The sequence below is a fragment of the Homo sapiens genome, chromosome 4, assembly GCF_000001405.40.
Source record: "Homo sapiens chromosome 4, GRCh38.p14 Primary Assembly".
Classification (NCBI taxonomy): domain Eukaryota; kingdom Metazoa; phylum Chordata; class Mammalia; order Primates; family Hominidae; genus Homo; species Homo sapiens.
Genome location: NC_000004.12, coordinates 123,412,014 through 123,436,368, shown reverse-complemented (window position 1 = coordinate 123,436,368; position 24,355 = coordinate 123,412,014). Strand labels below are relative to the sequence as shown.

The following is a 24,355-nucleotide window of genomic DNA, read 5'->3' as shown; positions in this document are numbered from 1 at the left end:
CATGGACCAGTCAGCACACACTCCCCGATTCTGAGCCCATAGAAACCCTGGACTTGGCCTCACAGACCTGCTTTTGGGCCCTGCTCACACAGAGAGCTACCCACTTCCGGTTCCCACTCATTGTTCAGAGCTTTTCTATCGCCAATAAAATTCTTCTCTGCCTTGCTCACTCTCCAGTGTTCATGTACCTCATTCCTCTTGGTTGCAGGACAAGAACCCAGAACCTGCTGAACAGCGGGTGTAAAAGAGCTGTAATACACGTTCCTTCTCGCCACGCTACCGGAGTGAAAAATACTGCTGGGCACCACACTCCCGTTTACCGAGCAGGCAGTGGGACCAAATGAGTGTGACACTTCCTGGGGGCTCAGATCTTCAGACTGGACTCCTTGAGTGGGACTCCCTGAGCAAAAGCTGTAACACCCCTTGTGGCTCCACCATTGCTGGTGAGAGGTGACAGCGTGCTGGCAGCCCTCCCTCGCTCTGGGCGCCTCCTCGGCCTCACCGCCCACTCTGGCCATGCTTGAGGAGCCCTTCAGACCGCCGATGCACTGTGGGAGCCCCTCTCTGGGCTGGCTGAGGCTAGAGCCGGCTCCCTCTGCTTGCAGGGAGGTGTGGAGGGAGAGGCGTGGGTGGCAACCGGGGCTGCACGCAGCACTCGCGGGCCAGCGCGAGTTCCAGGTGGGCGTGGGCTCGGCAGGCTGGCACTCGTAGTGGCTGGCAGGCGCTGCCCACCCCAGGCAGTGAGGGGCTTAGCACCTGGGCCAGCAGCTGCAGAGGGGGCACCAGGTCCCCCAGCACTGCCGGCTGGCCTGCGCCACACTCGAATTCTCGCCGGGCCTCAGCTGCCTGCCTGCGATGCAGGGCTCGGGACCTGCAGCCTGCCATGCCCAAGCCCCCCTCCCTTCCCTGCCTGGTGGGCTCCCACACAACCCAAGCCTCCCCGACGGGCGCTGACCCCTGCTCCACCATGCCCGGTCCCATCGACCACCCAAGGGCTGAGGAGTGCAGGTGTGCAGCCCAGGACTGGCAGGCGGCTCCGCCCACGGCCCTGGTCGGGGATCCTCTAGGCGAAGCCAGCTGGGCTCCTGAGTCGGGTTGGGACTTGGAGAACTTTTATGCCTAGCTGGAGGATGGTAAATGCACCAATCAGCACCCTGTGTCTCATTCAAGGTTTGTGAATGCACCAATCAGCACTCTGTATCTAGCTAATCTGGTAGGGACTTGGAGAACCTTTATGTCTAGCTAAAGGATTGTAAATACACCAATCAACACTCTGTGTCTAGCTTAAGGTTTGTAAACATACCAATCAGCACCCTGTGTCTACCTTAAGGTTTGTAAATGCACCAATCAGTGCTCTGTGTCTAGCTAATCTAGGGGGGACTTGGATAACTTTTGTGTCTAGCTCAGGGATTGTAAACGCACCAATCAGCACCGTCAAAACGGACCAATCAGCTCTCTGTAAAACAGACCAATCAGCTCTCTGTAAAATGGACCAATCAGCAGGATGTGCGTGGGGCCAGATAAGGGAATAAAAGCAGGCTGCCTGAGCCAGCAGTGGCAACCCACTTGGGTCCCTTTTCACACTGGCGAGGCTTTGTTCTTTCACTCTTTACAACAAATTTTGCTGTTGCTCACTTTTTGGGTTTGCACTGCTTTTATGAGCTGTAACACTCACCGTGAAGGTTTGCAGCTTCACTCCTGAGGCCAGCAAGACCACAAACTCACCTGGAGGAATGAACAACTCCAGAAGGGAGGAACGAACAACTCCAGACACGCTGCTGTAAGAGCTGTAACACTCACCGCGAAGGTCTGCAGCTTCACTCCTGAAGCCAGTGAGACCATGAGCCCACCAGAAGGAAGAAACTCTGAACACATCTGAACATCAGAAGGAACAAACTCCGGACACACCACCTTTAAGAACTGTAACACTCACCGTGAGGGTCCACGGCTTCATTCTTCAAGTCAGTGAGACCAAGAACCTGCCAATTTCGGACACACTGGCATCTCTGAGTTTTTGGGCGCTGCCACATCCCCCTCATCCAGACACCAGCGCCCAATGTGGAAGCTGGTTGTGCCATACCTGGAGTAGCTGTGGGCCAAGCACACAGCCATGGCGGGCAGGGGCTCTGGGCTGGTAGCACGGGCCGAGCGCAGCCTCCCAGATTGTGGGTGGTGCCAGCCCAGCAGGCTCAGGTGAAGCCGGGACAGAGGCACTGCTGGCTATGAGATTTCCAGCTGGCGAAGTGGCACCAAAAGAATCCTGTGTCATTAGGAAAGCAGAGGAGCTGCCAGGTGGATATGTGATGTGAAGCCAGGTCTGCATTCAGTTAAGCCGCTGAAGGTACTTACAGACCAAGAAATCCTTATGATAAAGCTTGAAGGATTATCATTTATGTAACTAATTCTGAAGGCCATATTGTACTATTCTGCTAGAATCGTCATAACAAAACACACCAAACTAGGAAGCTTAAACAACAGAAATTTATTTTCTCACTGTTCTGGAGGCTAAACGTTCAAGATCAAGATGCCATTGGGGTTGGGTTCTGGTGAGGCCTCTCTTCTTGGCTTGTAAATGGCCACCTTCTCACTGTGTCACTGTGTCCTCACATGGCCTTTCCTCTGTGCTTGTGCTGAGTGTGTGTGTGTGCATGCATGTGTGAAACAGAGAAAGTTCTTGTGTTTTTTCCTTCTCTTATAAGGACACCAGTCTATCGGGCAATCTGCCCCGATATTCACGTAGGTTCTTTTCTATTTTCCTTAAGCGTCGGCCAGCTTGAGAAATAAAGGGACAGAGTACAAAAGAGAGACATGTTAAAGCTGGGCGTCCGGGGGAGACATCACATGTCAGTAGGTTCTGTGATGCCCCACAAGCCGCAAAAATCAGCAAGTTTTTATTAGGGAGTTTCAAAAGGGGAGGGAGTGTGCGAATAGGTGTGGGTCACAGACATCAAGTACTTTACGAGGTAATAGAATATCACAAGGCAAGTGGAGGCAGGGCGAGATCACAGGACCACAGGACCGGGAAGAAATTAAAAGTGCTAATGAAGTTTCGGGCACTATTGTCATTGATAATATCTTATCAGGAGACAGCGTTTTGAGATCAACTGGTCTGACCAAAATTTATTAGGCGGGAATTTCCTATTCCTAATAAGCCTGGGAGCACTATGGGAAACTGGGGTCTATTTTACCCCTGCAGTCTCGACCATAAGAGACAGGTGCACCTGGGGGGGCTGTTCATAAGCCTATACCTCCAGGTGCGTATTCTCTTTCCCAGGGATGTTCCATGCTGAGAAAAAGAATTCAGCCATATTTCTCCCATTTGCTTTTGAAAGAAGAGAAATATGGCTCTGTTCCACCTGGCTCACCAGCGGTCAGAGTTTAAGGTTATCTCTCTTATTCCCTGAACAATTGCTGTTATCCTGTTCTTTTTTCAAGGTGCCCACATTTCATATTGCTCAAACACACATGCTGTATAATTTGTGCAGTTAATGCAATTATCACATGGTCCTGAGGCGATATACATCCTCCTCAGCTGACAGGATTAAGAGATTAAAGTAAAGACAGGCATAGGAAATCACAAGGGTATTGATTGGGGAAGTGATAAGTGTCCATGAAATCTTTACAATTTATGTTTAGAGACTGCAGTAAAGACAGGCATAAGAAATTACAAAAGTATTATTTTGGGGAACTAATACATGTCCATGAAATCTTCACAGTCCACATTCTTCTGTCATGGCTTCAACCGGTCCCTCTGTTTGGGGTCCCTGACTTCCCACAACACCAGTCCTATCAGATTATAGCCCTACTGTTATAACTTCGCATAACATTGATTACCTCCTTATAGGTCCCAGTTTCCAAATACAGTCACATCGAGATGATCACTTCAACATATGAACATTGAACTGACAAAATTCAGTCCGTAACACATACCATAAGTTGAGCTGTAGAAGACTACAACTACGAGAAGACAATGATACTTGGGCCACTACGTTTAAGCCCTTGTAAGTTCCCTTGAAAAAAACTCAGTTCTTTTCGCAAAAATATGCTTTGCTTTTATATCTTTGGCTTTTTATTGGTTTACTACAAGGACATAACCATATGAATTATCCACCTTTTTCGAGGACACTGTCCATCCCCAATATTCAATACCCTTTACATAAGCTCTGAGTGAGAATCATCCTTAAGATTTTAGTGCTGGGGCAAAAATTATCTTCCATGAGCGCAACCCATGATTTCTAAAAATGCTAAGAACCTCATCCTACAATATTTTCACTTTTTCTTCTAGTCTGGTGAAAATTTTGGATCATATTGGAAACTCAAACCCAACAAATTTATTAATTTCAGAGATATTTACAACCGTACTATTACATTTTTCTTTTCATCCTGATCCCTATTTATGTTTTAGTAATACTTCTCTCATTGTTTTTTAACTGTGCGAAAACACTTTTTTATAAAAGAGATAGTGTCTAAATAAATACCTGGCACAAGTTCTTCATTAGACTAAAGCAAATATTTAAAAATCAAGTAGCAGCCATTGATTTCTGTGAAAAAAATACCTAGATAACAAAAAAGAGTCACCACCAAAAAAGAGAATCCTAAATGCCCCTTACATTTTCATTCGCCATACCCAGGAGAAGGAACACCTGGCAATGAATATGAAAATAAAACTTCAGAAGTTTTAGCTGGGCGAGGTGGCTCACACCTATAATCCCAGCACTTTGGGAGGCCAAGGTGGGCAGATCACCTGAGGTCGGGGGTTCGAGACCAGCCTGACCCACACAGAGAAACCCCATCTCTACTAAAAATACAAAATTAGCCGGGCATGGTGACGCATGCCTATAATTCCAGCTACTTGGGAAGGCTGAGGCAGGAGATTCACTTGAGCCTGAGAAGTGGAGGTTGCAGTGAGCTGAGATCGCACCATTTCACTCCAGCCTGGGCAACAAGAGCAAAACTCCGTCTCAAAAAAAAAAAAAAAAAAAAAGGATAATTTTGAGCTATTATATGCAAATTAACTTTCAGACTGGCTGGTAGATTTTGAAGTAAAACAGCATTTTAGCTAGCAACAATTGCTAGGGAATAGATAAGCTTTACCCTGCTGTTGATGAGATCCAACTGTTTTCTGCACGGGCTCTCTTAAGAGGTGGGGTGCTACTGGGTAGTGCAGTTTGAGGATGAAATGAAAGAAGCAGCAGCAGCAGCAGGGCATTTTGTAGGAAGAGGACAGAAGGCCCTTCTGATTCTACACATTTGCTAGGATGTGACTTCAAGGCCTCTCCCTGAGAAGGTTAATGCCTAGGGAAAGGAAAGGTCAAAGAAATCAGGAGCAAAAATATTTAGTTATTTTATTATGGCACAAAAATAGTGCACTGAAATAACATGTTGCATGAGGTAAAAGCCCAGAGGATACATGTACAAAATATCAGCAACAAGTGTTAGGATAATACTTAAAATCCATCAATCATGTATGGATGTTGGAAAAAAAATATGTTATTAGATTTGCTAACTCAAAAAATTGAGTAAGGTCTTCCTGAAATTCTTCACAAATATAACAGACCTCCATAAAAACTCAATCTTGTATTGTAGAGTCAATTAACTGGGGAGAAATAAGTAAAGCAACATTCTGATAGGGGAGTGATAAGAGGTCTCTGGAGAAAGAACTTTGCACCGAGTAGGTGGAGCAGGAGTAGGCTAAACCTTATATGGAAGGTGAGATCAAGATGGGGACTGAGCACAGGTATCTACCTTCCCTTCTACCTAAAACCTTTTGAAAGAATAGAAAAGATAGTATGGGGAAGGATAACTCCTGAAGCGTTATTAGAGTACAAGAAAGGATAAAACTGACAGAACTGTAAGTAATTTCTTAAAGAAAAATCAAGAGGGTTTGGATGGACAGAGAAGACACAGCTTAAATGCTGTAGGCCCAGATGAAGAAATCGTAAAGACTGTGATCCCCCAGACTTCCCCTCCCTGGAAGAGACCTAGACATATGCCTTACAGGGTTTGAATACTTGTCCCCTCCAAATCTCAGGTTGAAATGTGACTCCCAGTGTTGGAGGTGGGGCCTCGTGGGAGGTGATTGAGTCATGGGGTGGAACCCTCATGTATGGCCTAGCACCATCCCCTTGGTGATGAGTGAGTTCTCACTCAGTTCATGCTGAGTTCTGGCTGTTTAAGAGGTCTAGGACCTCCCCCTTCTCACTCTTGCTCCTGCTCTAATCATGTGACACACTGGCTCCCCTTCACCTTCCGCCATGAGTGTAAGCTTTCTAAGGCCCTCGCCAGAAGCAGATGCTGGCATCACACTCCCTGTAGAGCCTGCAGAACTGTGAGCCAAAATGAATCTTTTTCTTTATAAATTGCCCAGCCTCTGGTATTTCTTTATAGCAACACAAGAATAGACTTACATAATGCCCTATGGAAAAGGAAGGGTAGGGACTTCCCAGATAGCTTCCACATGGAATATATATACAATTATTGATATGGTTTGGCTGTGTCCCCATCCAAATTGAATTGTAGCCCCCACAATTCCCACATGTTGTGGGAGGGACCTGGTGGGAGGTAATTGAATCATGGGGGCAGATTTTTTCCGTGTTATTCTCATGATAGTGAATAAGTCTCATGAGATCTGATGGTTTTATAAAGGGGAATTTCCTACACAAGTTCTCTTCTCGTCTGCCACCATGTGAAAGTGCCTTTCACCTTCAGCCATGATTGTGAGGCCTCCCCAGCCAAGTGGAACTGTGAGTCCATTAAACCTCTTTCTTTTGTAAATTGCCCAGTCTCAGGTGTGTCTTTATTAGAGGCGTGAAAACAGACTAATGCAATTATTTTTCCATATGTCACGATAGGAAAGACAAGCATCCCAGAAAAAAAACTGTTATTCATCTGTTTTAGCATGTTCATATCACACATTACTTCCATAGCACCATGGCATTAACTATAGCATATTATCATTGCTTGTTTATAATTGTCTGTGTCTCTACTTAGAGCATCAGCTCTGTGAGGGAGAGGACTGTAGCTACCTATTCACTGTTGTATCACCAGAACTCTAGCAGAAACTTTATAAATGTGTTGAACTAAATGATCAAATCCAACTGAAGTGAGGAGGAAGTGCCATATCTGAAAGAGTGGTGATAATATCCTGTAGCCATCTTCCCTCCACTTACCCTAGTAACCCAAGTCAATTTTTTTTTTTTGAGATGGAGTTTCACTCTTGTTGCCCAGGCAGGAGTGGCAGGAGTGCAATGGTGTGATCTCAGCTCACCGCAACCTCCACCTCCCGGGTTCAAGCAATTCTCCTGCTTCAGCCTCCCAAGTAGCTGGGATTACAGGCATGCACCACCACGCCTGGCTAATTTTGTATTTTTAGTAGAGACAGGGTTTCTCCATGTTGGTCAGGCTGGTCTCGAACTCCTGACCTCAGGTGATCCACCTGCCTTGGCCTCCTGAAGTACTGGGATAATAGGTGTGAGCCACCACGCCTTACCCCAAGTCAATATTTTATAAGTGAGTTTACCACCTAGCTTACTGCCCTTCAGAGAACATCAGTGATCCCTATTTGATACAGGACAATTTGGTACCAGGAGTAATAAGCATGCTAAATTAATCTACATATGTATATTAATTTTGCAATAGCTTTCAAAGAAGAAACAGAACACCAGAAATAAAGAACCAAGCTGTATATACTCTGTAGTTTCCCAGTATTCCTTTACCTGGCAGTACGGAAAGCCCAGGGATCAGTTAAGCAATGTTTGAGCATCACACTATGTGAAGCTTTAGAAAATATCTATTTTGGTTAGAATGTTTTTTTAAAAAAACCATTGGTAAACTTCTGGAAAAAGCACACATGTATGGGTATGAAAGGCGTCTTGCACTTGTTATTAAAAAGTCTTGAGATTGTGTTTCTTTTTCTATAGCAGAGGATTATTTGGAAACTGAAGATTCAGGTAGATCAGGAACAAAAAATTCTGGGCCAAATTCAACCACAGAAAAGATTGTGAAGGAAGTACCATCTGACTGCTGTGTGATAGTAATCCAGGTGAAATGGTTTAATGGTTCCAGTCTAGTTTCCAATTGATAAGGGGCAGCATCTAAAAATCATGCTTGTGTTTTTTTACAAAGTATCCAAACTTCAGTAATTGCCCACCAAAAAAAAAAAAAAAAAAAAAAGCTTATGCATAGTGCATAGAAAGAAAGTACCTTTCCTGTATACGGGAGGGGTGGGTCTTACCCTTTTTTTGGGTCAAAGATTCTTTGATAATGTGAATTGTCCTCAGGAAAGAAGCACACACACACTTTTTTGCATATCGTTCAAAGGTTCATAGGTCCCCTGCAAGCACTCCATGAATGACTGCACATTTGGTAATTAGATCCGTGGTTTTACCACTATTCCTAGGGGTTGTGGGGAAGGAAAAAAGGAAAGGCTGAAAAGGTCAGGGAAAAAGAAGGGTTCCCCAGTACCCCTCTTTCTTCAAGTGGAGTGACTACATATTAATCTCTTTCATATACTGACTTTCAGGTAATACCATTTGGTCATAAATTGTTCTATTAGAAAATAGGTTTGAGAACCTCTGCACTGGGCCAAGGGACATTAACCTGGTTGGTCATGGGAATTATCTGGGGAGCTTTGTTTTAAAATCCATACTTCCCTAGAAATGAAAGATCTCTGCAATGAAAACTATAAAACATTGATGCCAGCCGTGCGCGGTGGCTCACGCCTATAATCCCAGCACTTTGAGAGGCCGAGGCAGGTGGATCACGAGGTCAGGAGATCAAGACCATCCTGGCTAACACGGTGAAACCCTGTCTCTATTAAAAATACAAAAAATTAGCCGGGCGGGCGTGGTGGCGTGTGCCTGTAGTCCCAGGCTGAGGCAGAAGAATGGCGTGAACCTGGGAGGCGGAGCTTGCAGTGAGCCGAGACTGTGCCACTGCACTCCAGCCTGGGGGACAGAGTGAGGCTCCATCAAAAAAAAAAAAAATTGATGTCAGAAATGGAAAAGATACTCCATGTTCATGGATTGGAAAAATCAATATTGTTAAAATGTCCATGCTACCCAGAGCAATCTATAGATTTTATGCAATCCCTATCATAATGCCAATGACATTCTTCACAAAAATGGAAAAAATAATCCTAAAATTTATATGGAACCACCAGAGAACCAGAACAGCCAAAGCCAAAGCCATCCTGAGCAAAAAGAACAAAACTGGAGGAATCATATTTTAATCATAATTTACCTGACTTCAAATTTCCTACAGAACTATAGTAACCAAAACAGCATGGTATTACCATGCAAACAGGCAATAGACCAGTGAACAGAATAGAGAACCCGGAAACAAACATGTATCTATGGTGAACTCATTTTTGACAAAGATTCCAAGAACATACATTAAAGACAGACTCTTCAATAAATGATGCTAGGAAAACTGAATATCCATATGCAGAAGAATGAAACTAGACCCCTGTTTCTCACTATATACAAAAATCAAATCAAAATGGATTAAAGATTTAAAACTAAGACCTGAAAATATGAAACAACTAAAAGAAAACATTGGGGAAACTCTCCAGGACATTGGTCTAGGCAAAGATTTCTTGAGTAATATACCCAATGCACAGGGAACCAAAGCAAAAATAAACAAATGGGATCACATCAAGTTAAAAAGCTTCTGCACAGCGGCCGGGTGCGGTGGCTCACGCATGTAATCCCAGCACTTTGGGGCGGGCGGATCACGAGGTCAGGAGATCGAGACCATCCTGGCTAACACGGTGAAACCCTGCCTCTACTAAAAATACAAAAAAAATTAGCTGCGCATGGTGGCGGGTGCCCGTAGTCCCAGCTACTCGGGTGGCTGAGGCAGGAGAATGGGGTGAACCCTGGAGGTGGAGCCTGCAGTGAGCCGAGATCGCGCCACTGCACTCCAGCCTGGGCGACAGAGTGAGACTCCGTCTCAAAAAAAAAAAAAAAAAAGCTTCTGCACAGCAAAGGAAACACTCAACAAAGTGGAGGGGCAACACACAGACTGAGAGAAAATATTTGCAAACTATTCATCTCACAAGAGATTAATAACCAGAATACATAAGGAGCTCAAACAACCGTATAGGAAAAGATCTAATAATCGTATTTTAAAATGGGCAACATTTCTAAACAAACATTTCCCAAAAGAAGACATACAGATGGCAACAGGTATATGAAAAAGTGCTCAACATATTGATCATCAGAGAAATGTAAATCAAAACTACAATGAAATATCATCTCACCCCAGTTAAAATGGCTTATATCCCGAAGATAGGAAACAACAAATGCTGGTGAGGATGTGGAGAAAAAGGAACTCTCATACACTGTTGGTGGGAATGTAAATTAGTATACCTACTATGGAGACCAGTATGGAGGTGTCTAAAAAAACTAAAAGTAGAAATACCATATGATCCAACAAACCCACTGCTAGATATATACTCAAAAGAAAATAAGTCAGTATATTGAAGAGATAGCTGCACTCCTATGTTTACTGCAGTACTATTCATGATAGCCAAGATTTGGAATCAACCTAAGTGTCCATCAACAGATGAATGGATAAAAGACAATGTGGTATATATATATATATATGCAATGGAGTACTCTTTAGCCATAAAAAAGAACGAGACCCTGTCATTTGCAGCAACATGGATGGAAGTGGAGGACATTATGTTATGTGAAATACACCAGGCACAGAAAGACAAACTTCACATGTTCTCACCCATTTGTAGGAGCTAAAAATTAAAACGGTTGAACTCATGGAGATAGAGAGTAGAATATGGTTACCAGAGGTTGGGAAGGGTACTAGGCAGGGGGTGAAAAAGTGGGGATGCTTAATGGGTACAAAAGTATAGTTAGAGTGAATAAGATCTAGTATTTGATAGCACAACAGCATGACTACAGTCAACAATAATTTGTTGTACATTTTAAAATAACTAAAAGAGTATAATTGGAATATTTGTAACACAAAGAAATGATAAATGCTTGAGGTGGTGGATACCTCATTTACCTGATGTGATTATTATGCATTGTATGCCTGTATCAAAATATCTCATATACCCCATAAATATATAGGCCTACTGTGTACCCATAAAAATTAAAAATTAAAAGATAAAAATACATACTTCACTAGATGTCATACCATAACATTTATTGGTTGTTGTCTGTATATTGGTCTCCTCTCACTCAATTAGATTGAAGACTCCTTTAGAGCAGTGTCTATTTATTCAGCTAATATTTTGAGTGGCAACAATGCTATAGTCCAAGCACAGTTTTAGGTGTTGGAGTTTCAAAAGTTAATGAAGAAAATCCCTACTCCCACAAAGCTTACTATCTAATTGTTGATTCTTCATGGTTCCTTATATAGTTTTCAGGAAATGAACTTCAATGTTATTTACTGACTAGCCAACTATTTGCATGATCTTAGATACTTCCCCAGAGTTGGGGTTAGCCATTAGTAAAAGCAAAGGCGGCCAGATGCAATGGCTCACACCTGTAATCCTAGCACTTTGGGAAGCTGAGGCAAGAGGACCACATGAGATGAGAGGTTTAAGACTAGCCTGGAAAATAAAAGCAAGACCTTGTCTCTACAAAAAATAACAAATTAGCCAGGTGTGGTAGCACACACCCATAGACCCAGCTACTTGGGATGCTGAGGCAGGAGGATCCCCTGAGCCTAGTAGTTCAAAATTGCAGTGAGGTATGGTTGATGATTGCACTAATGTACTCCAGCGGGGGCAACAGAGTGAGACGCTGTCTCAAAAATAAAATAAAATAAAAATAAAACAAAGAAAAGAAAAAAGAAAAGAGAAGGCAAGTGGCCTACATAAAGCTCATATAATATAGCACAGTACAAATTTAAATCAGAATCAAAATAAGCCCTTTCATGGTCATTGCTAGGCTGGAAAGATCAGCCATCGTCCAACCTATTCCCCCATCTCCCATCACGGTTGGATGGCTCAACTCAATTTTAGAATCTTATTAAACCTGGTATCATTCTGTATCAACAAAGTTAAGACATTATCCATTTGTATTAATAAAAGATACTTTAAAATTTACCCCTTTCCACCCACCCATCATCTCCATCCCCAACCCAAGGAAGTACAGGCCAAAGTACAAAAACACATTTGCATTGTTTTTAAGTTAGGAAAAAGGAAAAATGTTAAGTCCTTTTAAAATAAAAGATACAATCATTCTCGTTTTCATTCAGAGTTGGTCTTTGTTTCTTGATTTCTGTTTTCGTAGAAAAGTAGCACTGGCCACTCTCCTAGAAATTTGTGGCTACAGCAATCGGAGGTAGTTTGTAAGCTCAAATTATGCACAGGCTTTGCAGTCAATTAACCACAGTTAACATCCTGGTTGGCTGTGGGAACCTGGGCTAGTTATTTCACTTCACAGTGCCTGGGTTTCCTCATCTGGAAAAGAAAATAATAATGCTAGCGACCTCATATGATTTTTGAGAAGATCAAATAAAATAATTCATGTAAAGTTCTTAGAACGGTGTCCAGCTACTCCTGGGTATAATAAGCTCAGTGTATAGTGAGCTAGAATTTTGGTGAAAGGATAGAAAAAGAGAGACCTCAAGCCTTTGGGGGAACTTATAATACAGTGAGAAAAACAAACCATAAGTAAAGTAAGTTATCTGGGACTGAGTATTAAGTTCAGGGAATGGAGATTACAGAAACAATCCTAGCAGCCTTTGGTTGAAGAGGACTCAATCACAAAATAAGCAGGAGTTCAAATCCCATGTTTTGGCACTAAGAATTGACATGACAGGAACCCCAGCTGACGACTGCACTACTTGGTGACCTGGGCTCCTATGTGGAAAATGGGAAATGACCAGACTTTTTGAGTTTCGTAGAATAAACAAATCTCACAAGAGAAAAATCTCTTTCCTCTCTTAAGGGAGCAATATCTGGAATACAGAGCTAGGAGGGTACTAGTACTGAAAATACGAACGTTCCAAAACGGTTTTCTGCCTATGTAATTAGGAGAAAAGAGGAGAAAGGACTGTAAACTCCATGTCTGTCTTGTTCACTACCATACACCGGGAGCCTGGCCCACAGTCTCCACCCACCCTCCCCTTCCCACCCTCCATCCTGCCCCCAACCACGTTTGCTCCCTCCACTCACCTCAGGAAATGACCATTTGTTCCTCCAAAGGCTCAGGTATTTTAGATTGCTTCTCTGAGAGAATTTAGTGCATCCTAACTCCTTATTATGGGTGTATATAGATCGGGCTTACAAAACATTTCTGTTAAATTGCTCATTTAAAATTCTTATTTTCCGTCTTTAAAAATTACTGTAATTTATCATTTCAATTTAACAGTCATATATGTATCACTTCCTCTCTAGGAACTGAGTGTAACTCTTAAGAATTATCAGTGGTTTGCATGGATCTCAGAAGTATCTTCTTTTCTGTAGAACCGTTTGTTGTTGCTTTTTTAAAAAGTAATTAAATAATATGTACACATACACAAGAGTTATGTGTAGTGTCAAATATCTTTTCTTAAATTCCCTAATAATTGAAAAAAAGTTTCAGTATTTTTTCTTTATTTACCACATTATTAAACATCCCAGTCCCACCTTCACTATCACCACTAAGTTCTAAATACAAGTAATTTATTGAGCCTTAAAATTTAACTGTACCTTAAATTTCCCTTTCTCAATTGAGAACATGAAACACAATTTTGCCAAGACACAAACTGCTACATTGGTTGTGATTAGGGAGGAAAATTTTTTTTTTAAATGCTGAGAGCCCTTATGAGTGAGTGACAGGCTTAATTAATGATCTCCATCATTCAATTTCTCCCATTTTCACTTTTCTCTTTCTTTTAGGGGATAAGTGGGAGGGAAAGCGTATGTTTGTTTGGCTCATCAGTATTGTGGTTTTAATTCCCTTATATAATTTTAAAAAGCCACTATGCTTCTGAGACTTCTTTTCAGGGGCTTTTTGTCCCCAGAGTTTCAAAACTCACGGCAAATAGTTTTCTCCAACCCTGCTTATTTCAAATATGAAACAGGAAACTGTGATGTCGTGTCTAGTAAACCATCAAAAGCACTCTGTTTAAAATAGAGAAATTAAATGAGCTCATTGCTGCTTTAAAATACCTTAATTTTTGGCAGAACACCTACCTATCTAGGAGTAAAAGGTTAATTAAATAAAAAGATCGTCACTTCTTCCTAAGTACATCAGTTGTTTTAGCAAATGAGTTCTTTCATCGGAAAAGATGAAAGATGTCATCGTTCTAGTACGAGAATGATGTGCACTGAAGACACTACTTACAACTAAAAAGTTCGTTTAATGCATGGAACAAGAGAATAATAGAACTTGAGCATTCTACTGATATCATTTTCATATTTTTTAATATCAATAACTATGTGGATATACGCATAGCCAATCACAACTGTATGTAACTGAGCAGCCATTTAGAGCACTTAAGGAGAACAGAATACTTCTCTGAGGCTTTGACATGATAAACATATAAGTTCACTATCTAAACATTAAGTCATATTTTAAATGGATACTTTAAGCAATCGCTTCCTGTACAACCAGAATGAGATATATGCTGATTTTAATGACAGTGATAATAAAGTTGGTTACGTAATTCCAACCCAGTCACTGGGTAAAATGATGAGCATTAGTGTTCAGAGGCAAAGTTTCTTAAGGGAAATTATTATCATGATTAATGTGGTTAACATAAAAAGTGGTAGGCTAGTGGGGCGCTGGGAGGGATGGAACAGCTGCTTGACTCTCACAGCAAAACAAGGTTCACTTTTTTTAAAGTTTTTCTTTACGAGGTTATTTTGTCGTAATTGTTGGCAATATTAGATAGTAATAGTTTCTTTTAAATAGAAAACATATATTCTTGCCACTGAATTTCTACATTTTCACTGGCAATCCAAACTTCCTTAGTGCTCTTTTGCTTATCATCAGTGTTAGTTTTCCTGCAATAAATGTGCTTAGCTAGATAAGTACTAGAAAGCTTAAATGGACGAGTTGAGTTTTTCTCTTTTTCAACTCTCTGAAAACAACTTCACTTTATTAAGAAGATAGAAAGGTGGGAAGTAAATGAAACAAAACACAAATTTTGGTCTTCAGAGTGACTGTTTCCTGAAAGATTACTAAAATCCTCAATTCTAAAGATTCAATGAGTTTTAGAAGATCATAAAAAATAAAAGTAGAGGAGTGTTCCCCTAAATTTTTATTTTAGAAAATACAAGACATGGCTGGGCGCGGTGGCTCACACCTGTAATCCCAGCACTTTGGGAGGCCAAGGCAGAAGGATCACGAGGTCAGGAGTCTGAGACCAGCCTGGCCAACATGGTGAAACCCCGTCTCTACCAAAAATATAAAAATTAGCCGGGCGTGGTGGCGCACGCCTGTAATTCTAGCTACTCAGGAGGTTGAGGCAGAAGAATTGCTTGAACCTGGGAGGCAGAGGCTACAGTGAGCTGAGATCGCACCACTGCAGTCCCGCCTGAGCAACAGAGTGAGGCTCCATCTCAGACAGAAAAAAAAAAAAATGGAAAAGAAAGTTCAAGACACTAGGAGACAGGTAAATAATGTATCCAAATGATTGTTAAAGCCCATTTGTAACTAAGAAATGGGTAGCAGGATTATGTGTCATTTTTAATTCATTATACTCATCTGCATTTTCAAAAACAATGTTACAATAAACATGTTACTTTTATCAGCAGATAAGAGGATTTAAATGCTTTCCCATTTCCGGCTGCCAGGTCAGCCTCCTGATCCAGCTCTTAGTGGAGATCAAGAGCTTATACTTTTTTCCTAAATCCACACCACTGGCACAGCACTGAACGCGTCCCAGGTGCTCAGCAAGTCTGGACTGACTAATTAATTGATGTAGGGGTCCTTCACCTTTGTACACCTCTGTACTTAAAACACTGTTCTCAAGGGTGTCTAAACACACTTAGAAAAAGCTGCTCTGGTTTTAAACGACATATAAATTCCCTACTAAAGCAACTTCTCTCTGTTCATCATTACTCAAAAGCAGATGAGTAAGGTGACATTTCACGTTGCTAGTTAGAAGTGGCTTGGAACAAAAAGCCACTAACTTCTGGTTTAGACTTTGTTCACTCTAAAAATAAGTTACTTGGGGTATCAGATATGACCTAGTCTTTCCTTTTTTTTTTTTTTGACGGAGTCTCGCTCTGTCGCCAGGCTGGAGAGCAGTGGCACGATCAAGGTTCACTGCAACCTCCACCTCCAGGGTTCAAGGGATTCTCCCGCCTCAGCCTCCCAAGTAGCTGGGACTACAGGCACGCGCCACCACACCCATCTTTAGTAGAGATGGGATTTCACCATGTTGGCCAGGATGGTCTCAATCTCTTGGCCTTGTGATCCGCCTGCCTCGGCTTCCCAAAGTGCAGTGGCGTGAGCCACTGCGCCCAGCCTAGTCCTTAACGTTTTTATCAAGAGTGCTGCCTACACATTTCAATTGTAGATGTATTAAAATTGAGATTACTCATTTTTTCCAAAGAATGTGGGAAAGCGATTGCCATAATCTCCTTAAGGACAAGGTCTCCATCATCCTTCCACCTCTAGTGCTGGGGCCAGGATGTGGGGCAGAGTAGGTGCTTGGTAACTGTTGAGGATTTAATGAATCAATCAATCAGTACTCCTACACACCTACCTTGTCACAGGTGGACACAATATGTTTCACAGAGAAGAGTGGTCTAAAAATATTTATTCCAAGTATTAAGGTAAACACCCTATCACTACCCAAGACACAATAAAAGGGCAATAAAACATTGTTTTCTACACGTTAAGCACCTGAAATCTTTTTTTTTTTAATTTGAGTTGGAGTTTCACTCTTGTTGCCCAGGCACTTTTGTTGCCAGGCTGGAGTGCAATGGCGTGATCTCGGCTCACTGCAACCTCTGCCCCGCTGGCTCAAGAGATTCTCCTGTCTCAACCTCCCAAGTAGCTGGGATTACAGGTGCCCGCCACCACGCCCAGCTAATTTTTGTATTTTTAGTAGAGATGGGGTTTCACCATGTTGGCCAGGCTGGTCTCGAACTCCAGACCTCAGGTGATCCACCCGCCTTGGCCTCCCAAAGTGCTGGGATTACAGGCATGAACCACAGTGCCCAGTCCCTAAAACCATTTCATAAGAATATTTGTGGCTAATGATTAAATGTAATGGGAAATAAAGCCTTTTTAAGCTGAAGCTATTTTAACAAACAGGAGAATTCTAGAGTTGAATTATGTGTAAAACACAAAAAGACCTTGAATAAATGTCAACAAGTTATGAAAATTGTTCACCTCATAAAACATATAGATTTACAGCCTGAGTCAAAATGCATGGCTTAAAATGACGCTGTTTCTCTAGCATCTTCCAGGGAGTGCTTTCTTGGTTACTCTTCAGTGTTTTAATAATACTCTTTTTTCTTCTGCTTTTTAAAACTTTTGTGCTGTCAGATATATATGATACTCCATGCCACCTTGCTAATGCTAAGACAGCTATTGTATCCATAAAACCACTGCACAGTGTCTAAATCAGGAGCTGAATATGTTCTTCTACCTTTTATCGGCTCTAAAAAATGCAGAGCAAACATTATCTATTGTTAATTACCTGTAAAGTAGGGCTTTAGCCACTTCCCCTGTTTCTAAGAGCCCTGAAGTGAAACCTAAAAGAAGTCACCCATTGTTTTCAATTGTGCAAGGGCCAGGAGCAAACAGGGCTCAAATTGCAGCTCTGAAAGGCCACAGGAAATTGGCATACCACTAATCTGCACTCAACTATTCAAAGAAACAAAGCCTGCATTCCTGCTGAAAAACTCACCAGCAGAAACCCAAGGCAGATCTGTTCAGTAAGGACCACAGAATAAATCTGCAGAAATAAAAGTTTTTAATTAGAGTGCCATGAGACCTGGCTCTAGTTTCCTAGCTCTGAGAGTAACACACATCGTTTAGATTTCTACGTAGTCTTCCCAATTTTCTCCAAAATGAGACTACATAATTAGAATCCTTCCTGTTTAATGATGTCAGCAGGGATGGGGTTGGAGGAGATAATAAGAGGTCAACTGTTCACTATAGATAGCTGAGTTATAATAAACTAGAGTACTGAAATAATAAAAATGTAAGGGGATTTAAATTTACTTTTGTGTATTTGGGCTTTAAACATTCCCTGTAAACACAACAACGTTGTTTCTAAAGCATAGGAGTTGAATACAGTTAAGAAATTGGCCAGATTATCTTTCATATGGAACAGAGCAATTTAAAATGAGCTTCCTATAACATTCAAGTATGAAAATAAGGATTGTTTTTTTCAACTGGATATTCCATCACAGCAAAAGTCATGAGCCAAACCCTGATGCTTCAGCTGGTTTGGCCCATCTGCTTGATCTTACATAGTGAGAGCAGAATGAACTAACAGAATCAGGGAGTTTAGGTTCTAGTCCTAACTTTATCAATAAATGTGAAAATCATAATCCTCCCTGTGTTAGATTTTATCTGCAAAACTAGGCTAATAACTTGGCCCCTCTTTCACTCGTAAGTATGTCAAAAGCCCAATATGTTATAACCTAGGTACTTACAGAAAATGTGTGCAATATACAATCTGAGATATTACTGTATTTACTAATAATAGTGCTTTGAGTGATAGATTCCATAATATTATAGATCTATCCCCAAGACCATTCAAAAGTATTTACAGCCATAGTACATATGAAAAAAAAGAATGTTTTGAGGGGTTTCATGCCTATGCCAAGTTCAGCAAGAAGAGTAAACAATAGTTTAGTATCCAGGAGAAAGAGCATTAGCATCTAAGAAGCTGGGAAGGGCCCTGGCATTTTTTTTTTTTTTACTTTTTTAATTACTCTTAAGGATACTTTGGACGCTTAACAGAGAAGACCAAGTGGTTTGCATTATCAATAACTAAAAATACATTAGTAAAATGAAGGAGGAGTTGATTCCAGGCATTTCCATGTCAGGCCTATCTATTTGGGATGTTATAGAAAGGATGCATTATTATATCCCGTGAGAGGTGAGCCAATTCCACAGCCTTGAACATCTGTCTCCTCTAGTGCCAGAGGTTTTACTGCCACAATTCTTAAAATTAGTCTCCCCTGGAAACCTTAACATGATCAATGATATTACTGAAATTCTCTGCAGCAGATAATTACATATCTTTTTTAGAATTCTATTTACTAGTATTTGCTAGACAAAAATGACTTTAGGCAGGAGACACATCATGTCAGAATATATATTTTATTAATGCAGTGAATGGCCCTCTGGCCAGAAAAACAGAAGCCAAATATGGGCTTTTATGACTCGATTGTAAAATGCAGGGAAAAATATCAATGAATATTTATTGAGTGCCTACTATGGGCAAAGCACCTTAGGAGTACAGGTAAATCTACAACATAAACCCAGTCTGAAAGAATTATAATATGGAAGGGAGACAAGACATAAACACTAAAAACTCAACATTAAAAGTAATGATCAGTTTACAGAATGTTGTTACTAAAGAATTTCTGAGAGAGATTATTTTGCCATGATCCAGTCAGAAAAGTAGGATTTAAACCTTGTTGCAAAGAATAGGATTGAAAAGGCAAAGACAGTGTCTCAGGTCTGGAGTTGAAGGTGTGTTGCAGGGACAGAGAGCGAACCAATTCCACTGGATAGAAGATTTATGTTTCAGAAAAGTAGGAAAGAAGGGTGAAAGGGCAGGGTAGGAGTCTGAAAGCGCAGCCACAAATACGCAGTGCATGAGTTTTAACTTAATCCTAGACTTAATGTAAAGAGTGACTGCAGGAAAAGACGGCAGGGCAAGAGGCAAAGACAAGACTTGGGGTGTCAAAAAGACATACAGTCTGATGAACTGGAAAAGATTAATTTTTAATATGGTTATTTGTTATGCAGTCATGCTGTAGACCAGTAACATCATATGATAAATGACACAAATGTTTCCAAGTGTAAATCATCATATTCCAAGTAGGCAGCCACCAGTAGACACACATTTTCCATTGGGTCAAAAGGACCCAAAATTTTATTTGCACACAAAAGTATAGTTGTGTGTTTTTTCCCCTTGAGAACGGATCCCATAGGTAACATCTGAACAGCCCCCATCACGAAATCGCCGCTCTATGCTCCCCGCTGCCTGCGGTTGACTTAGTCATTTGTTGTGCCATAGGAAGGAGGTGACAGTTACTGCTTGGATATGTTTGTAGGGCATAACCTCAAAGGAACTTCCTCACACTCTATAGTAGAAAGAAATAAATGTTTGTTTTGAAAGATAAGTATGGGTAAGTAGAAAAAAATGCTCAAGGGCAAATACTTTTAAAAAAATGCTTTATGAAAGAATGTTGGGTTTTGTTTTTTTTCAAAAAAGGCAAGTTCAAGCAGACTATTTTTTTCCAAGAGTACTGCCTGCTTTTCTTCTTTCCAAAATTTGCCAGATTTTACAATCCACACAAAGCATATTTTCCCTAAGGATTAAGAGATCCTTTCTCCCTCATTAAAATTTTTATTTAAGAAATTAAGGGACCACAGGGTACCATATCCCATTATTTACATAGAGTGTGAAGTAATTTTGGACTCTCACACTTGACTTTTTTTTTTTACCAAACTTTGGAAATCAAGCAATGCCAGGTTCCTCAAATTCAAGTTTTGCTATTTTATAAAGATCACCTTAAAAAATTTTTTTTCCCAAGTCTCTACATGTGCCTCGTATATACCACCTATAAAATAGAAAAAAATTTAAATTCCAATACTATTATTTACAAGTATTTCAAATTAAAAGAAAAAAAAAAATAGCCGGGCGCGGTGCTCACACCTGTAATCCCAGCACTTTGGGAGGCCGAAGTGGGCGGATCACGTGAGGTCAGGAGTTTGAGACCAGCCTGACCCACACGGAGAAACCCCATCTCTACTAAAAATACAAAATTAGCCAGGCTTGGTGGCGCATTCCTATAATCCCAGCTACTTGGGAAGGCTGAGGAAGGAGAATCGCTTCAACCCGGGAGGTGGAGGTTGCGGTGAGCCGAGATCGCGCCATTGCACTCCAGCCTGGGCAACAAGAGCAAAACTCTGTCTCAAAATAAAGAAAAAAAATGACCAATTCCAAACCCAAACTATTTTGCCCTTCTTCTGTGTTGCTTCTGTAAGAATTCAGGTTTTATTGGATCTGCCTATCTTTATGCTATATTCTCTTCAGGAATTGTAAATTAAACTCCCAAACTTCAAGTACAAACAAGGTCCACATAATGAAAACAGTACAGGCCTTTAAAAGTATTGTTCATGTCTTTTTCTCATTCAGTTGGTTCTATTTCCTACTAGATGCTTATCCTTGAGCATGTCATTTCACCTTTCTCGGGTTCAATTTACTTTATTTTATTATTATTATTTTGAGACGGAGTTTTGTTCTTGCTGCGCAAGCTGGAGTGCAATGGCGTGATCTCGACTCACTGCAACCTCCACCTCACAGGTTCAAGCGATTCTCCTGCCTCAGCCTCCCAAGTAGCTGGGATTACAGGTGTGAGCCACCACGCCTGGCTTTGTTGTTGTTGTTGTTGTTTTGAGACGGAGTCTCGCTCTGTGGCCCAGGCTGGAGTGCAGTGGCATGATCTCGGCTCACTGCAAGCTCCGCCTCCCGGCTTAACGTCATTCTCCTGCTTCAGCCTCCCGAGTAGCTGGGACTACAGGCGCCCGCCACTACACCCAGCTAATTTTTTATATTTTTAGTAGAGACGGGGTTTCACCGTGTTAGCCAGGCTGGTCTCGAACTCCTGACCTCAGGTGATCCGCCCGCCTCGGCCTCCCAAAGCGCTGGGATTACAGGGATTACATATTGCCCAATCACCTTCCTTCCTTTCTCTATCATCATCACCACCACCAGCAGGCAGAGAAAAATACAGGGAATAAGGAAAACCAAGACTCTTTATGTTGCAAACATTTTTTTTCTTTTCTTTTTTTTTTTTTTGAGGCAGAATCTCGCTCTGTCGCCCAGGCTGGAGTGCAGTGGCGAGATCTCGGCTCACTCCAAGCTCCGCCTCCTGGGTTCATGCCATTCGCCTGCCTCAGCTGGGACTACAGGCGCCCGCCACCACGCCTGGCTAATTTTTTAATTTTTAGTTGGGAGGGGGTTTCACTGTGTTAGCCAGGATGGTCTCGATTTCCTGACCTCGTGATCCGCCCACCTCGGCCTCCCAAAGTGCTGGGATTACAGGCGTGAGCTGCCGCGCCCGGCCTGCAAACATTGTTTTTCAGGATACTTCAATGATTCAAAATGTAATGACTGGATTAGGAGGGTGGAGTAGGGGAGTAGTGGAAGAAATGTTTTAGCAGTTAAAGAGAAAAAGGCTGAATTGGTGAATTTTATTTTTTTGAGATAGAGTCTCACTCTGTCTCACAGACTGGAGTGCAGTGGTGCCATCTCAGCTTACTGCAACCTCCACCTCCTGGGTTCAAGCGATCCTCCCACCTCAACCTCCTGAGTAGCTGGGATCCATGCCCAGCTAATTTTTGTATTTTTGGTAGAGACAGGGTTTCACCATGTTGGCCAGGCTGGTCCTGAACTCCTGACCTCAAATGATCTGCCCACCTCGGCCTCCCAAAGTGCTGGGATTACAGGTGTGAGCCACTGTGCCCCACCAAGCTTGGTGAATTTTAAAGTTCTGGAACTTGGGTGTTTCTGACAACAAAGTTCAGATACATAAGTCACTGAAAAGTGTATACAGTGAAGCTGTATACAGTGAACTCTGGGAGGCTGAGGTGAAAGAATGAAAAATTTAGTTTCTGTTTGATTTACAAAGCCTTTGCTTCTTTCCTGTCTTCTTGCTTCCTGCCTTCTGTCCACTTCATTACTCATTAACCATTCCAGGAGAGATGGGGGTTGGGGGGTTGGGGGCGGGGAGAGACTCTTAAATCTGCACAATTAGTAGAATGTTGAGTGGGGAAAATTTTGATCTCCTTCTATATTTCATTTACACAAATGTCTCTGCCTTCCATTACCAGAGATGAGTTAACCCGGTACCAAATGGCCAAGACTTCTCCTCCCCCACCTTCTACAACCAATCAGATCAAGCTCACAACCTCCTTTCAGCCTCTACTGTCCCTGTCACATTAATCACCTTGGCTCCTATATTATTTATCCAGCTGGTCTCCCTCTTGCCCCCCAGTCCATCAGCAGCATGCAGTGTTGCCTAAGTATCCTTCTGAAACTCTAATCTGTTCATGCCATTCTCCTTATTATCATCTGTCAATGACTATCACCCACAGGATAGAGCCTAAACTTTTAAACATGACATTTCCACTTTCCATGACTGGCTCCTCTTTTCCCCACAGGCATCTTACACTCCAAACATACTAAATTACTTGCAATGTTCTCATCATGCCATGATCATTCCCACTTAACATGCCTTTGGACTTTTCCAAAATGCTTTTCTCTCCCTTGTCTACTTGACTCATTACTACTCATCTTTCAAGGCTTTTTTTATGAAGGCTTCTCTGATTTACAAAGACAGATTTGGCTGCCTCCTCCCAGAGTGTTTCCATGGCCCCATTTACCGCCAGTGATAGCATCATTCACATTGCTAAAAAGTTACGAATTACTATTCAAAGATACAGTTGTTAAATTGATGAATGCATAGTTGACAAAGCCAAGTTCTTATTTTCTCTCAAAAATTGCCAATATTGTAGACATTAGAAATGGTATCAAAAGACCCTGCAAACATTAATCTCAGCATTTTTCCTTATTCTGAAGCTTTTAATAAATCTACAAAGTTGATCAACAACAAATATTTACTGAGCTCTTCCTCTGTTGTATAATCACGATTCCAGGTACTAGATAGCAAAATGTTAAAACCGATAAATGTTGGTTTCATCCTTTTTTGTCTTCCCTAATTGAATTGTTTCTGGTACTAAAGGGTAAAACCTAAAAAGGCAGACACAAAGGGGAAATTATAGGCAATTCAAAGAACAGGTTTACAAACCACAAAGTGACAAGTTAAAGTTTCACATGCTCTGTAAATAACTCTGACACCAACAGTTTTCTTTATAAAGATAGGCCTCTCTACATTTAGAGTAATAGACAGATTCTGGGTGGCCCAGAAGAATAAAATGTACTTCTGTGAGGGAATCAAATTTACTCACAGCTTCCACTGCAAATCTGCAACGTGCAAACTCTGTGAAGCAGGCAAGACTAAGATCTTGGACTGAATCTCTTTGCTTCCTCAAGTGCCTCTGAAGTGCACAAAAGCTGAAAGAAGGGAATGTGGAAAGCAGAAGGTCTTTTGGCTGTGTGTATTATTTTGACTGAATTGACAGGTCAATCTATTTCATGTAGATATTTTCTTTATTCAGTAACAGATTTT

At 41.6% G+C, this 24,355-nt stretch overlaps 2 annotated features.

Moving 5' to 3' along the window:
- Window positions 230–729: an enhancer, noted in NCBI's record as "H3K4me1 hESC enhancer chr4:124356795-124357294 (GRCh37/hg19 assembly coordinates)". NCBI's record gives its function as "activates a minimal SCP1, AML or CMV promoter by ChIP-STARR-seq in naive H9 embryonic stem cells {active_cell/tissue: H9 hESC(naive)}" and the evidence as "EXISTENCE:reporter gene assay evidence [ECO:0000049][PMID:30033119]".
- Window positions 17,505–18,062: an enhancer, noted in NCBI's record as "OCT4-NANOG hESC enhancer chr4:124339462-124340019 (GRCh37/hg19 assembly coordinates)". NCBI's record gives its function as "activates a minimal SCP1, AML or CMV promoter by ChIP-STARR-seq in naive H9 embryonic stem cells {active_cell/tissue: H9 hESC(naive)}" and the evidence as "EXISTENCE:reporter gene assay evidence [ECO:0000049][PMID:30033119]".